This window comes from Homo sapiens, chromosome 7 (assembly GCF_000001405.40).
Source record: "Homo sapiens chromosome 7, GRCh38.p14 Primary Assembly".
NCBI classification, from domain to species: domain Eukaryota; kingdom Metazoa; phylum Chordata; class Mammalia; order Primates; family Hominidae; genus Homo; species Homo sapiens.
In genome coordinates, this window is record NC_000007.14 from 57937294 (window position 1) to 57955028 (window position 17735).

The 17735-nt window shown below is 36.6% G+C and overlaps 1 annotated feature.

The window, feature by feature from the left end:
• Nucleotides 401-1186: an enhancer, noted in NCBI's record as "OCT4-NANOG hESC enhancer chr7:57997400-57998185 (GRCh37/hg19 assembly coordinates)". NCBI's record gives its function as "activates a minimal SCP1, AML or CMV promoter by ChIP-STARR-seq in primed H9 embryonic stem cells {active_cell/tissue: H9 hESC(primed)}" and the evidence as "EXISTENCE:reporter gene assay evidence [ECO:0000049][PMID:30033119]".

Sequence of the window (17735 nt, forward strand, 5' to 3'; positions counted from 1 at the left end):
TTTTCCATCATAGGGTGCAAAGTGCTCCAAATATCCACTTGCAGATTCTACAAGAAGAGAGATTCTAAACTGCTCAAAAAAATGAATAGGTTCAACTCTGTGAGTTGAATGCACACATCACAAAGAAGTTTCTCAGAATTCTTCTGAGTTGTTTTCATGTGAAGATATTTCCTTTTCCACAATAGGCCTCCAAGGGCTCCAATTATCCACTTGCTGATTCCACAAAAAAAGTGTTTCAAAACTGCTCAATCAAAAGAAAGTTTCAACTCTGTGAGATGAATGCACACATCACAAAGAAGTTTCTCAGAATGCTTCTGTGTAGTTTTTATGTGAAGATATTTCCTTTTCCACAATAGGCCTCAAAGGGCTCCAATTATCCACTTACAGATTCTACAAATGAGAGTTTTAAAACTGCTCAATCAAAAGAAAGGTTCAACTCTAAGAGATGGATGCACACATCACAAAGAAGTTTCTCAGAATGCTTCTGTGTAGTTTTTATCTGAAGATATTTGCTTTTCCGCCATAGGCCTCAAAGAGCTCCAAATATCCACTTGCAGATTCTAGAAAAAGAGTGTTTCAAAACTGCTCAATCATAAGATAGGTTCAACCCTGTCAGTTGAATGCACACATCACAAAGAAGTTTATCAGAATGTTTCTGTGTAGTTTTATTTGAAGATATTTTCTTTTCCACCATAGGCCGGAAAGGGCTCCAAATATCCACTTGCAGATTCTGCAAAAAGAGAGATTCAAAACTGGTGAATCAAAAGATAGGCTCAACTTTGTGAGTTGAATGCACACATCACAAAGAAGTTTCTGAGAATGCTTCTGTCTAGTTTTTATGTGAACATATTTCCTTTTCAACCATAGGCCTCAAAGAGCTCCAAATATCCACTTGCAGATTCTAGAAAGAGAAAGTTTCAAAACAGCTCAATCGCAAGAAATGTTCAACTCTTTCACATAAATGAACACATCACAAAGAAGTTTCTCAGAATGCTTCTGTGTAGTTTTTGTGTGAAGATATTTGTTTTTCCACAGTTGACTTCAAAGGCCTCCAATTATGCATTTGCATATTCTACAAAAAGATAGATTCAAAACTGCTCAATGAGAAGATAAGTTCAAGTCTCTGTGTTGAATGCACACCTCACAAAGAAGTTTCTCAGAATGCTTCGTGTCGTTTTTATGTGAAGATATTTCCTTTTCCACAGTAGACCTCAAAGCTCTCCAAATATAACTTGCAGATTTTACAAAAAGAGAGATTCTAAATCGCTCAATCAAAAGATAGGTTCAACTCTGTGAGTTGAATGCACACATCACAAAAAAGTTTCTCGGAATGCTTTTGATTAGTTTTTATGTGAAGATATTACCTTTTACACAACAGGCCTCAAAGGGCTCCAATTACCCACTTGGAGATTCTACAAAAAGAGTGTTTCAAAACTGCTCAATCAAAAGCAAATTTCAAATCTTTCAGATGAATGCACACATCAAAAAGAAGTTTCTCAGAATGCTTCTCTCTAGTTTTTATGTGAAGATATTTCCTTTTCCACAATAGGCTTAAAAGGGCTCCAAATATCTACCTGCAGATTTTGTAAAAAGCGAGATTCAAAATAGGTTCAACTCTGCAAGAAGAATGCATACATCACAAAGTAGTTTCTCTGAATGCTTCTGTGTAGTTTTTATTTGAAGACATTTCCTTTTCCACCACAGGGTGCAAAGGGCTCCAAATATCCACTTGCAGACTCTACAAAAAGAGTGTTTCAAAACTGCTTTATCAAAAGAAAGGTTCCACTGTGTGAGTTGAATGCACACATCACAAAGAAGCTTCTGAGAATGCTTCTGTCTAGTTTTTATGTGAAGATGTTTCCGTTTCCACCATAGGCCCCAAAGCGCTCCAAATATCCACTTGCAGATTCTACAAAAGGAGTGTTTCAAAACTGCTCTATCAAAGAAAAGTTTCAACTCTGTGAGTTCAATGCACACATCACAAAGTAGTTTCATAGAATGCTTCTGTCTAGTTTTTATGTGAAGATATTTCGGTTTCCAACATAGGCCTCCAAAGGAACAAAATATCCACTTGCAGATACTAGAAAAAGAGTATTTCAAAACTGCTCTATCAAAAGAAAGGTTCAAATCTGTTACTTGAATACACACATTACAAAGAAGTTCCTGAGAATGCTTCTGTCTAGTTTTTATGTGAAAATATTTCCTTTTCCACCATAGGCCTCAAATCGCTCCAAGTATCCACTTGCAGATTCCACAAAAAGAGTGCCTCAAAACTGCTCTATCAAAAGAAAGGTTCAACACTGTTATTTGAATGCACACATCACAAAGAAGTTTCTGAGAATGTTTCTGTCTAGTTTTAATGGGAACAGAGTTCCTTTTCCACTATAATCCTCGAAGTGCTTCAAATATTCACTTGCAGATGCTACAAAAAGAGTGTTTCAAAACTGCTCTATGAAAAGAAAGGTTCAAATCTGTGAGTGGAATGCACACATCACAAAGAAGTTTCTGAGAACCTTTCTATGTAGCTTTTATGTGAAGATATTTCCTTTTCCACCATAGGCCTGAAAGCGCTCAAAATATCCGCTTGCAGATTCTACAAAAAGAGTGTTTTAAAACTGCTCTATCAAAAGAAAGGTTCAACACTGTGAGTTGAATACACACACCACAAAGCAGTTTCTGAGAATGCTTCTGTCTAGTTTTTATGTGAAGATATTTCGTCTTCCAAAAGAGGCCTTCAAGGGAAAAAAAATCCACGTGCAGATTCTACAAAAAGAGTGTTTCAAAGCTGCTCTATCCAAAGAAAAGTTCAACTCTGTGAGTTGAGTGCACACCTCACAAAGAAGTTTCGGGGAATTCTTCTGTCTAATTTTTATGTGAAGATATATCCTTTTCCACTTTAGGTCTCAAAGCCCTCAAAATATCCACTGGTAGATTCTACAAAAAGAGTGTTTCAAAACTGCTCTATCAAAAGAAAGGTACAACTCTGTGAGTTGAATGCACAATTCACAAAGAAGTTTCGGAGAATGCTTCTGTCTAGTTTTTATGTGAAGATATTTCGTTTTCCAATATAGGCCTCAAAGGGAACAAAATATCCACTTGCAGATTCTACAAAAAGAGTTTTTCAAAACTGCTCTATCAAAAGAAAGGTTCAACTCCGTGAGTTGAATGCACACATCACAAAGAAGTTTTGGAGAATGCTTCTGTCTAGTTTTTATGTGAAGATATTTTGCTTTCCAACATAGGTCTCCAAGGGAAACAATTATCCACTTGCAGATACTACAAAAAGTATGTTTCAAAACTGCTCTATCAAAGGAAACGTTCAAATGTGTGAGTTGAAGACACGCATCACAAAGAAGTTTCCGAGAATGCTTCTGTGTAGTTTTTATGTGAAGATATTTCCTTTTCCACCATAGGCCTCAAAGCGCTCCAAATATGCACTTGTAGATTCTACAAAAAGAGTTTTCAAAAGTGCTCTATCAAAAGAAAGGCTCAACTCTGTGAGTTGAATGCACGCATCGCAAAGTAGTTTCTGAGAATGCTTCTGTCTAGTTTTTATGTGAAGATATTTCATTTTCCAAGATAGGACTCAAAGCGCTCTTTATATACACTTGCAGATTCTACAAAAAGAGTGTTTCAAAACTGCTCTATCAAAAGGAAGGTTCAAAACTGTGAGTTAAATGCACACATCACAAAGTAGGTTCTGAGAATGATTCTGTCTAGTTTTAATGTAAAGATATATAGTTTTCCAACATAGGCCCCAAAGAGAACTAAATATCACCTTGCAGATTATACAAAAAGAGTGTTTCAGAATTCCTCTCTCAAAAGAAAGTTTCAACTCTGTTGGGTGAATGGACGCATCACAAAGAAGTTTCGGAGAATGCTTCTGTCTAGTTTTTATGTGAAGATATTTCCCTTTCCACCGTAGGCCTCAAAGTGCTCCATATCTCCACTTGCAGATTTTAGAAAAAGAGTGTTTCAAAACTGCTCTATCAAAAGAAAGGTTCAACACTGTGAGTTGAATGCATACATTGCAAAGAACTTCCTGAGAATGCTTCTGTCCAGTTTTAATATGAAGATATTTCCTTTTCCACCATAGTGCTAAAAGCGCTCCAAATATTCACTTGCAGATTCTACAAAAAGAGTGTTTCAAAACTGCTCTATCAAAGAAAAGGTTCAACACTGTGAGTTGAATGCAGAGATCACAAATAAGTTTCTGAGAATGCTTCTGTCTTGTTTTTATGTGAAGATATTACTTTTTCCAACATTGGCCACCAGTGGAAACAAATATCCACTTGTAGATTCTAGAAAAAGAGTGTTTCAAAACTGCTGTATCAAAAGAAAGGTTCAAATGTGTGAGTTGAATGCACACATCAGAAAGAAGTTTCTAAGAATGCTTCTGTGTAGTTTCTATGTGAAGATATTTCCTTTTCCACCACAGGTCGCAAAGGGCTACAAATATCCACTTGCATATTCTACAAAAAGAGTGCTTCAAAACTCCTCTATCAAAAGAAAGGATCAACACTGTGATTTTAATGCACACATAACAAAGCAGTTTCTCAGAATGCTTCTGTCTAGTTTTATATGAAGATAATTCATTTTCCAACAGAGGCCTAAAAGGAAAAAAAAATCCACTTGCAGATTCTCCAAAAAGAGTGTTTCAAAACTGCTGTATCCAAAGAAAAGTTCAAATCTGTGAGTTGAGTGCACATATCACAAAGAAATTTCGGAGAATTCTTCTGTCTAATTTTTATGTGAAGATATTTCCTTTTCCACCTAAGGTCTCAAAACCCTCAAAATATCCACTTGCAGATTCTGCAAAAAGAGTGTTTCAAAACTGTTCTATCAAAAAAAAAAATTACTGTAGCCTTGTAGTATAGTTTGAAGTCAGGTAGTGTGATGCCTCCAGCTTTGTTCTTTTGGCTTAGGATTGACTTGGCGATGCGGGCTCTTTTTGGTTCCATATGAACTTTAAAGTAGTTTTTTCCAATTCAGTGAAGAAAGTCATTGGTAGCTTGATGGGGATGGCATTGAATCTGTAAATTACCTTGGGCAGTATGGCCATTTTCACGATATTGATTCTTCCTACCCATGAGCATGGAATGTTCTTCCATTTGTTTGTATCCTCTTTTATTTCCTTAAGCAGTGGTTTGTAGTTCTCCTTGAAGAGGTCCTTCACATCCCTTGTAAGTTGGATTCCTAGGTATTTTATTCTCTTTGAAGCAATTGTGAATGGGAGTTCACTCATGATTTGGCTCTCCGTTTGTCTGTTGTTGGTGTATAAGAATGCTTGTGATTTTTGTACATTGATTTTGTATCCTGAGACTTTGCTGAAGTTGCTTATCAGCTTAAGGAGATTTTGGGCTGAGAAAATGGGGTTTTCTAGATATACAATCATGTCGTCTGCAAACAGGGACAATTTGACTTCCTCTTTTCCAAATTGAATACCCTTTATTTCCTTCTCCTGCTTAATTGCCCTAGCCAGAACTTCCAACACTATGTTGAATAGGAGTGGTGAGAGAGGGCATCCCTGTCTTGTGCCAGTTTTCAAAGGGAATGCTTCCAGTTTTTGCCCATTCAGTATGATCTTGGCTGTGGGTTTGTCATAGATAGCTCTTATTATTTTGAAATACATCCCATCAATACCTAATTTATTGAGAGTTTTTAGCATGAAGGGTTGTTGAATTTTGTCAAAGGCTTTTTCTGCATCTATTGAGATAATCATGTGGTTTTTGTCTTTGGCTCTGTTTATATGCTGGGTTACATTTATTGATTTGCGTATATTGAAGCAGCCTTGCATCCCAGGGATGAAGCCCACTTGATCATGGTGGATAAGCTTTTGGATGTGCTGCTGGATTCATTTTGCCAGTATTTTATTGAATATTTTTGCATCAATGTTCATCAAGGATATTGGTCTAAAATTCTCTTTTTTTGTTGTGTCTCTGCCTGGCTTTGGTATCAGAATGATGCTGGCCTCATAAAATGAGTTAGGGAGGATTCCCTCTTTTTCTATTGATTGGAATAGTTTCAGAAGGAATGGTACCAGTTCCTCCTTGTACCTCTGGTAGAATTCGGCTGGGAATCCATCTGGTCCTGGACTCTTTTTGGTTCGTAAGCTATTGATTATTGCCACAATTTCAGCTCCTGTAATTGGTCTATTCAGAGATTCAACTTCTTCCTGGTTTAGTCTTGGGAGAGTGTATGTGTCGAATTTATCCATTTCTTCTAGATTTTCTAGTTTATTTGCGTAGAGGTGTTTGTAGTATTCTCTGATGGTAGTTTGTATTTCTGTGGGATCGGTGGTGATATCCCCTTTATCATTTTTTATTGCATCTATTTGATTCTTCTCTCTTTTTTTCTTCATTAGTCTTGCTAGCCGTCTACCAATTTTGTTGATCCTTTCAAAAAACCAGCTCTTCGATTCATTAATTTTTTGAAGGTTTTTTTGTGTCTCTATTTCCTTCAGTTCTGCTCTGATTTTAGATATTTCTTGCCTTCTGCTAGCTTTTGAATGTGTTTGCTCTTGCTTTTCTAGTTCTTTTAATTGTGATGTTAGGTTTTCAATTCTGGATCTTTCCTGCTTTCTCTTGTGGGCATTTAGTGCTATAAATTTCCCTCTACACACTACTTTGAATGTGTCCCAGAGATTCTGGTATGTTGTGTCTTTGTTCTCGTTGGTTTCAAAGAACATCTTTATTTCTGCCTTCATTTCGTTATGTACCCAGTAGTCATTCAGGAGCAGATTGTTCAGTTTCCATGTAGTTGAGCGGTTTTGAGTGAGATTCTTAATCCTGAGTTCTAGTTTGATTGCACTGTGGTCTGAGAGACAGTTATAATTTCTGTTCTTTTACATTTGCTGAGGAGAGCTTTACTTCCCAGTATGTGGTCAATTTTGGAATAGGTGTGGTGTGGTGCTGAAAAAAATGTATATTCTGTTGATTTGGGATGGAGAGTTCTGTAGATGTCTATTAGGTCCACTTGGTGCAGAGCTGAGTTCAATTCCTGGGTATCCTTGTTGACTTTCTGTCTCATTGATCTGTCTAATGTTGACAGTAGGGTGTTAAAGTCTCCCATTGTTAATGTGTGGGAGACTAAGTCTCTTTGTAGGTCTCTCAGGACTTGCTTTATGAATCTGGGTGCTCCTGTATTGGGTGCATATATATTTAGGATAGTTAGCTCTTCTTGTTGAATTGATCCCTTTACCATTATGTAATGGCCTTCTTTGTCTCTTTTCATCTTTGTTGGTTAAAAGTCTGTTTTATCAGAGACTAGGATTGCGACCCCTGCCCTTTTTTGTTTTCCATTGGCTTGGTAGATCTTCCTCCATCCTTTTATTTTGAGCCTATGTGTGTCTCTGCACGTGAGATGGGTTTCCTGAATACAGCACACTGATGGGTCTTGACTCTTTATCCAATTTGCCAGTCTGTGTCTTTTAATTGGAACATTTAGTCCATTGACATTTAAAGTTAATATGGTTATGTGTGAATTTGATCCTGTCATTATGATGTTAGCTGGTTATTTTGTTAGTTAGTTGATGCCGTTTCTTCCTAGTCCTGATGGTCTTTACATTTTGGCATGATTTTGCAGTGGCTGGTACTGGTTGTTCCTTTCCATGTTTAGTGTTTCCTTCAGGAGCTCTTGTAAGGCAGGCCTGGTGGTGACAAAATCTCTCAGCATTTGCTTGTCTGTAAAGTATTTTATTTCTCCTTCACTTATGAAGCTTAGTTTGGCTGGATATGAAATTCTGGGTTGAAAATTCTTGTCTTTAAGAGATATAGATCAATGGAACAGAACAGAGCCCTCAGAAATAATGCCACATATCTACAACTATCTGATCTTTGACAAACCTGAGAAAAACAAGCAATGGGGAAAGGATTCCCTATTTAGTAAATGGTGCTGGGAAAACTGGCTAGCCATATGTAGAAAGCTGAAACTGGATCCCTTCCTTATACAAAAATCAATTCAAGATGGATTAAAGACTTCAACGTTAGACCTAAAACCATAAAAACCCTAGAAGAAAACCTAGGCATTACCATTTAGGACATAGGCATGGCCAAGGACTTCATGTCTAAAACACCAAAAGCAATGACAACAAAAGACAAAATTGACAAATGGGATCTCATTAAACTAAAGAGCTTCTGCACAGCAAAAGAAACTACCATCAGAGTGAACAGGCAACCTACAAAATGGGAGAAAATTTTCGCAACCTACTCATCTGACAAAGGGCTAATATCCAGAATCTACAATGAACTCAAACAAATTTACAAGAAAAAAACAAACAACCCCATCAAAAAAGTGGGCGAAGGACATGAACAGACACTTCTCAAAAGAAGACATTTATGCAGCCAAAAAACACATGAAAAAATGCTCATCATCACTGGCCATCAGAGAAATGCAAATCAAAACCACAGTGAGATACCATCTCACACCAGTTAGAATGGCAATCATTAAAAAGTCAGGAAACAACAGGTGCTGGAGAGGATGTGGAGAAATAGGAACACTTTTACACTGTTGGTGGGACTGTAAACTAGTTCAACCATTGTGGAAGTCAGTGTGGCGATTCCTCAGGGATCTAGAACTAGAAATACCATTTGACCCAGCCATCCCATTACTGGGTATATACCCAAAGGACTATAAATCATGCTGCTATAACGACACATGCACACGTATGTTTATTGTGGCATTATTCACAATAGCAAAGACTTGGAACCAACCCAAATGTCCAACAATGATAGACTGGATTAAGAAAATGTGGCACATATGCACCATGGAATACTATGCAGCCATAAAAAATGATGAGTTCATGTCCTTTATAGGGACATGGATGAAATTGGAAATCATCATTCTCAGTAAACTATCGCAAGAACAAAAAACCAAACACCGCATAATCTCACTCACAGGTGGGAATTGAACAATGAGATCACATGGACACAGGAAGGGGAATATCACACTCTGGGGACTGTTGGGGGGTGGGGGGAGGGGGGAGGGATAGCATATGGAGATATACCTAATGCTAGATGACGAGTTAGTGGGTGCAGTGCACCAACATGTCACATGTATACATATGTAACTAACCTGCACAATGTGCACATGTACCCTATAACTTAAAGTATATATATAAAAAAAAGATACAACTCTGTGGGTTGAATTCTCAAATCACAAAGAAGTTTCTGAGAATGCTTCTGTCTAGTTTTTATGTGAAGATATTTCGGTTTCCAACATAGGCTTCCCAGAGAAAAAAAATCCACTCACAGCTTCTACAAAGAGTGTTTGAAAACTGCTCCATCAAAGAAAGTTCAACTGTGTGAGTTGAAAGCCACATAACAAAGAAGTTTCAGAGAATGCTTCTCTCTAGTTTTTATGTGAAGATATGTTGTTTTCCAACATAGGTCTCCAAGGGAAACAAATATCCACTTGCAGAAACTACAAAAAGAGTGTTTCAAAGATGTTCTATCAAGAGAAACGTTCAAATGTGTGAGTTGAAAGCACACATCACAAAGATGTTTCTGAGAATGCTTCTGTGTAGTTTTTATGTGAAGATATTTCCTTTTCTACCATAGGCCTCAAAGAGCTCCAAATATGCACTTGTAGATTCTACAAAAATTGTGTTTCAAAACTGCTCTATCAAAAGAAAGGTACAGCTCTGTGTGTTGAATGCACACAGCACAAAGAAGTTTCTGAGAATGCTCTTATCTAATTTTTCTGTGAAGATATTTCATTTTCTAACATAGGCATCAAACCGCTCCAAATATACACTTGCAGATTCTACAAAAAAAGTGTTTCAAAACTGCTCTATGAAAAGAAAGGTTCAACTCTGTGAGTTGAATGCATGCATCACAAAGAAGTTTCTGAGAATGCTTCTGTCTAGTTTTTATGTGAAGATATCTCCTTTTCCACAATAGGCCTCAAAGCGCTCCAAATACCCACTTGCAGATTCTACAAAAAGAGTGTTTCAATAGTGCTCTATCAAAAGAATGTTTCAACTCTGTGAGATGAATGTGCACATCACAAAGTAGTTTCTGAGAATGCCTCTGTCTAGTTTTTATGTGAAGATATTACTTTTTCCATCATATGCCTCAAAGCGCTCCAATTATCCATTTTGAGATTCCAGAAAAATTGGGTTTCCAAACTGGTCCATCAAAAGAACGGTTGAAATCCGTGAGTTGAATGCAGACATCACAAAGAAGTTTATGGGAATACTTTAGTATAGTTTCTATGTGACGATATTTCCTTTTCTACCATAGGCTTCAAAGCGCTCCAAATATCCTCTTGCAGATTCTACAAAAAGAGAGTTTTAAAACTGCTCTATCAAAAGAAAGGTTCAACTCTGTGAGTTGAAGGCCCACACCACAAAGAAATTTCTGAGAATGCTTCTGTCTAGTTTTCATATGAAGATATTTCCATTTCCACCATAGGCCTAAAAGCGCTCCAAATATCCACTTGCAGATTCTACAAAAAGAGAGTTTCAAAACTTCTCTATCTAAAGAATGGTTCAACTCTGTGAGTTGAATGCACACATCACAAACAAGTTTCTGAGAATGCGTCTTTCTAGTTTTTATATGAAGATACTTCCTTTTCCAACATAGGCCTCAAAGCGCCCCCAATATCCACTTGCAGATTGTACAAAAAGGGTTTAAAAACTGCTCTATCAAAAGAAAGGTTCAACTCTGTGCATTGAATGCACACATCAAAAAGAAATTACTGATAATGCTTCTGTCTAGTTTTTAAATGAAGATATTTCATTTTCCAACGTATTCCTCAAACGGAACCAAACATCCCTTTGACGATTCTCCAAAAAGAGTGGTCAAATCTGCTCTATCAAAAGAAAGTTTCAACTCTGTGAGTTGAATGCACTCATATCAAAGAAGTTGCTGAGAATGCTTCTGTCTGCTTTTTGTGTGAAGATATTTCCTTTTCCACCACAGGCCTCAAAGCGCTACAAATATCCACTTGCAGATTCTACAAAAAGAGTGTTTCAAAACTGCTGTATCAAAAGAAATGTTCAACTCTGTGAGTTTAATGCACACATCACAAAGTACTTTCGGAGAATGCTTCTGACTAGTTTTTATGTGAAGATATTTCCTTTTCCACCATAGGAATAAAAGAGAACAAAATATCCACTTGCAGGTACTACAAAAAGAGTGTTTCAAAACTGCTTTATCAAAAGAAAGATTCAACTCTGTGAGTTGAATTCACAAATCAAAACAAAGTTTCGGAGAATGCTTCTTTCTATGTTTTATATGAAGATATTTCGTTTTCCACCACAGGCCTCAAAGTGCTCCAAATATCCACTTGCAGATTCTACAAAAAGAGTGTTTCAAAACTTCTTTATCTATGAAAGGTTCAACTCTGTGCATTGAATAGACACATCACAAAGAAGTTACTGGTAATGTTTCTGTCTAGTTTTTACATAAAGATATTTCATTTTCCAACGAAGGCCTCAAAGGGAATGAAATATTCCTTTGCGGATTCTAGAAAAGGAGTGTTTCAAAACTGCTTTATCAAAAGAAATTTAAAACTCTGTGAGTTGAAAGCACACATAACAAAGAAGTTGCTGAGAATGCTTCTGTCTGCTTTTTGTGTTAACATATTTCCTTTTCTACCACCGGCCTAAAAGCGCTACTAATATCCACTTGCAGATTCCAGAAAAAGAGTGTTTCAAAACTGCTCTATCAAAAGAAAAGTTCAACTCTGTGAGCTGAATGCACACATCACAAAGAAGATTCTGAGAATTCTTGTGTCCAGTTTTAATGTGAAGATATTTCCTTTTCAAACATAGGCCTCAAGGGGAACAAAATACCCACTTGCCGATACTACAAAAAGAGTGTTTCAAAATTGCTGTATTGAAAGAAAGGTTCAATTCTGTGAGATGAATGTACGCATCACAAAGAAGCTTCTGAGAATGCTTCTGTCTAGATTTTATGTGAAGGTATTTCCTTTTCCACCATAGGCCTAAAAGCGCTCCAAATATACACTTGCAGATCCCACAAAAAGAGTATTTCAAAACTACTCTATCAACAGAAAGGTTCAACACTGTGAGCTGAATGGACACATCACAACGAAGTTACTGAGAATGCTTCTGTCTAGTTTTTATGTGAAGATATTTACTTTTCCACCATACGACTCATAGCACTACAAATATCCACTTGCGGATTCTACAAAAACAGTGTTTCAAAACTGCTCTATTAAAAGAAAGATTCAACAAACACTCTCAGTTGAATGCTCACATCACAAAGAAGTTTCTGAGAATGCTTTTCTCTACTTTTCATGTGAAGACATTTCCTTTTCCACCATAGGCCTCAAAGCGCTCCAAATATCCACTTGCATTTTCTTCAAAAAGCCAGTTTCAAAACTGCTCTATCAAAAGAATGGCTCAAACCTGTGAGTTAAATGCACACATCACTAAGAAGTTTCTGAGAATGCTTCTGTCTGGTTTTTATGGGAAGATATTTCCTTTTCCACCATAGGCCTCAGAGGGAACAAAATATCTGCTTGCAGATTCTACAAAAAGAGTGCTTCAAAAGTGCTCTATCAAAAGAAAAGTTCTACTCTGTGAGTTGAATCGACACATCACAAAGAAGTTTCAGAGAATGCTTCTGTCTAGTTTTTATGTGAAGATATTTCCTTTTCCAACATTGCCCTCAAAGCGCTCCAAATATCCACTTGCATTTTTCTCAGAAAGAGAGTTTCAAAACTGCTATGTCAAAAGAATTGTTCAAATATGTGAGTTGAATGCTCACATCCTAAGAAGTTTCTGAGAATGCTTCTGTCTAATTTTTATGTGAAGATATTTCCTTTTCCACCATAGGCCTCAAAGTGCTCCAAATATCCACTTTCAGATCCTACAAAAAGAGTTTTTCAAAACTGCTCTATCAAAAGAAAGGTTCAACTCTGTGAGTTGAATGCCCACATCACAGAGAATTTTCTGAGGCTGTTTCTGTCTTGTTTTTATGTGAAGATATTTCCTTTTCCAAAATAGGGCTCGAAGCGCTCCAAATATCCACTTGCAGACACTACAGAAAGAGTGTTTCAGAAGGCTCTATCAAAAGAAAAGTTCAACTCTGTGAGTTGAAAGCACACATCACAAAGAAGTTTCTGAGAATGTTTCTGTCTAATTTTCATGTGAAGATATTTCATTTTCCACCATAGGCCTCCAAGGGAACAAAATATCCACTTGCAGGTTCTACAAAAAGAGAGTTTCAAGACGGCTCTATCTAAAGATTGGTTCAACTCTGTGAGTTGAACACATACATCACAAAGAAGTTTCCGATAATGCTTCTGCCTAGTTTTTATGTGAAGAAATTTCCTTTTCTACCATAGGCCTCAAACCGCTCAAATTATCCACATGCCGATTCTACGAAAATAGTGTTTCAAAACTGCTCTATCAGAAGAGTGGTTCAACTCTGTGATTTGAATGCACACATCACAAAGAAGTTTCTGAGAATGCTCTTGTCTAGTTTTTCTGTGAAGATATTTCGTTTTCTAACATAGGTGTCAAACTGCTCCAAATATACACTTGCAGATTCTACAAAGAAAGTGTTTCAAAACTGCTCTATGAAAAGAAAAGTTCAACTCTGTGAGTTGAATGTATGCATCACAAAGAAGTTTCTGAGAATGCTTCTGTCTAGTTTTTATGTGAAGATATTTCCTTTTCCACAATAGGCCTCAAAGCACTCCAAATATACAGTTGCAGATTGTACAAATAGAGAGTTTCAAAAATACTCTATCTAAACAATGGTTCAACCCTGTGAGATGAATGCACACATCACAAAGAAGTTTCTGAGAATGCTTCTGTCTAGTTTTTATGTGAAGATATTTCGTTTTCCAACATAGGCCTCCAAGAGAACAAAATATCCACTTGCAGATTCTACAAAAAAAGTGTTTCAAAACTGCTCCATCAAAACAAAGGTTCAACTCTGTGAGTTGAGTGCACTCATCAGCAAGAAGTTTCAGAGAATGCCTCTGTCTAGTTTTTATGTGAAGATATTTCCTTTTCAACCATAGTGCCCAAAGTGCTTCGAATATACACTTGCAGATTCTACAAAAAGAGTGTTTCAAAACTACTCTATCAAAAGAAAGATTCAACTCTGTGAATTGAATGCACACATCACAAAGAAGTTTCTGAGAAAGCTTCTGTCTAGTTTTTATGTGAAGATATTTTGTTTTCCAATGAAGACCTCCAAGGGAATCAAATATCCACTTGCAGATACTACAAAAAGAGTGTTTCAAAAGTGCTCTATCAAAAGAAAGGTTCAACTCTGTGATTTGAATACACACATCACAAAGAAGTTTTGGAGAATGCTTCTGTCTGGTTTTAATGTGAATATATTTCCTTTTCCAAGATAGGCCTCAAAGTGCTCAAATTATCCACTTGCAGATTATACAAAAAGAGTGTTTCAAAACTGCTCTAATAAAAGAAAGTTTCAAATCTGTGAGTTGAATGCACACATCACAAAGAAATTTCTGAGAATGTTGATGTGTATTTTTTATTGGAAGATATTTCCTTTTCCACCATAGGTCTCAAAGGGCTCCAAATATCCACATGCAGATTCTACAAAAAGAGTGTTTCAAAACTGCTCTATCAAAAGAAAGGTTCAACACTGTGAGTTGAATGCACACATCACAAAGAAGTTTCGGAGAAGACTTATGTATAGTTTTCTGTGAAGATATTTCGTTTTCCAACATTCCTCCAATGGAAAAAAAAATCCACTTGCAGATACTACAAAAAGAGTGTTTCAAAACTGCTCTATCAAAAAAAGGTTCAACACTGTGAGCTGAATGCACTCATGATAAAGAAGTTTCGCAGAATGCTTGTCTAGATTTTATGTGAAGATATTTCCTTTTCCACAATAGTGCTCAAAGCGATCAGAATATTCACTTGCAGATTCTACAAAAGAGTATTTGAAAACTGCTCTATCAAAGGAAAGGGTCAACTCTGTGATTTGAATGCACACATCACAAAGAAGTTTCTGAGAATGCTTCTTTCTAGTTTTTATGTGAAGATATTTCAGTTTCCAACATAGACCACAAAGGGCACCAAATATCCACTTGCAGATTCTGGAAAAGAGTGTTTCAAAACTGCTGTATCAATAGAAAGTTGGAACTCTGTGAGGTGAGTGCACACATTATAAAGGAATTTCGGAGACGGCTTCCGTCCAGTTTTTATGTGAAGATATTTTCTTTTCCAGCTTATGTCTCAAAGCGCTCCAAATATCCACTTGCAGATTCTATAAAAAGAGTGTTTCAAAACTGCTCTATCAAAAGAAAGATTCAACTCTGTGATTTGAATGCCCATATCACAAAGAAGTTTCTCAGAATGCTTCTGTCTGGTTTTTATGTGAAGATATTTCTTTTTACAACATAGGCCTACAAGGGAACTAAATATCCACTTGCAGATTCTAGAAAAAGCTTGTTTCAAAACTGCTCTATCAAAAGAAAGGTTCAACTCTTTGAGTTGAGTGCACACATAACAAAGAAGTTTCGGAGAATGCTTCTGTCTAATTTTTATGTGAAGATATTTCCTTTTCCACCTTAGGTCTCAAAGCGCTGCAAATATCCACTTCCAGATCCTATAAAAACAGTGTTTCAAAACTGCTCTATTAAAAGAAAGGTTCAACTCTGTGAGTTGAATGCACACATCACAAAGAAGTTTCATAAAATGCTTCTGTCTCGTTTTTATTTGAAGATATTCCCTTTTCCACCCTAGGCCTAAAAGCGCTCTAAATATTCACTTGCATTTTATTCACAAAGAGAGTTTCAAAACTGCTTTATCAATAGAAAGGTTCAATTCTGTGAGTTGAATGCCCACATCACAAAGAAGTTTCTGAGAATGCTCTTGTCTAGTTCTCATTTGAAGATATTTCCTTTTCCACCATAGGCCTCATCGCACTCCAAATATACACTTGCAGATGGTACAAAAAGGGAGTTTCAAAACAGCTCTGTCAAAAAAATGGTTCAGCTCTGTCAGTTGAATGCACACATCCAAACAAGTTTCTGAGAATGCTTCTGTGTAGTTTTTATGTGAAGATGTTTCCTTTTCAACAATAGGAATCAATGTGCTCCAAATATCCAGTTTCAGATTCTACAAAAAGAGTGTTTCTAAACTGCTCTATCAAAAGAAAGTTTCAACTCTGTGAGTTGAATGCACACATCACAAAGAAGTTTCTGAGAAATTTTCTCTGTAGTTTTTATGTGAAGATATATCGATTTCCAACATAGGCTTCCAAAGAAACAAAATATCCAATTGCAGATTCTAGAAAAAGAGTGTTTCAAAGCTGCCTTATCAAAAGAAAGGTTCAACTCCATGAGTTGAATGCAGTCATCACAAAGAAGTTTCTGAGAAAGCTTCTGTCTAGTTTTTATGAGGAGATACTTCGTTTAACACCATTGGTCTGAAAGTGCTCCAAATATCCACTTGCAGATTCTACAAAAAGAGAGATTTGAAACTGCTCAGTCTAAAAATAGGTTCCACTCTGTGAGTTGAATGCACACAACACGAATACGTTTCTCAGAATTCTTCTGTGTTGTTTTTATGTGAACATTTCTTCTTTTCCACAGTAGGCCTCAGCCAGTTTGTTTAATGCACACATAATAAAGAAGTTTCTCAGTATATTTCTGTGTAGTTTTTATGAGAAGATATTTCCTTTTCCAAAATAGACCACAAAGCCCTCCAATAACCACTTCCAGATTCTACAAAAAGAGTGTTTCAAAACTGCTCAGTCAAAAGAAAGCTTCAACTCTGTTTGATGAATGCAGTTATCACAAAGAAGTTTCTGTGAATACTTCTGTGTTGTATTTACTTGAAGATATTTCCTTTTCCACCATAGGGCACAAAAGGCTCCAAATATCCAGTTGCAGATTCTACAAAAAGAGAGATTCGAAACTGCTCAATCAAAAGGTAGGTTCAACTGTGTGAGTTGAATGCACACATCACAAAGAAGTTTCTCAGAATGCTTCTGCATAGTTTTTATGTGAGGATACTTCCTTTTCCACTGTAGGCATCAAATCACTCCAAATATCCACTTGAAGATTCTACAAAAAGAGTGTTTCAAAACTGCTGAATCAAAAGAAAGGTTCAACTCTGTGAGATAAATGCACACATCACAAAAGTGTTTCTGAGACTGCTTCTGTTTAGTTACTATGTTCAAATATTTGCTTTTCCACTGTAGGCATCATGGTGCTCCAAATATCCACTTGCAGATTCTACAAAAAGAGTGTTTCAAAAGTGCTAAAGCAAAAGAAAAGTTCAACTCTGTGAAATAAATGCACACATCACAAAGGAGCCTCAAGGAATGTTTCTGTATAGTTCTTATGTGAAGATATTTGCTTTTCCACTGTAGGTCTCAATGTGCTCCAAATATCCACTTGCAGATTCTACAAAATGAGTGTTTCAAAACTCCTCAAACAAAAGAAAGGTTCAACTGTTTGAGATGAATGCACACTTAAAAAGAAGTTTCTCAGAATGCTTCTGTGTAGCTTTTATGTGAAGATATTTCCTTTTCAACATTAGGCCTCCAAAGGCTCCAAATATCCACTTGCAGATTCTGCAGAAAGAGTGTTTCAAAACTGCTCAATACAAAGAAAGGTTCAACTCTGTGACATAAACACACACATCATAAAGAAGTTTCTCAGAATGCTTCTGTGTAGTTTTTATGTGAAGATATTTGCTTTTCCACGGTAGGCCTCAAAGCGCTCCAAATATCCCCTTGCAGATTCTACAAAAAGAGTGTTTCAAAACT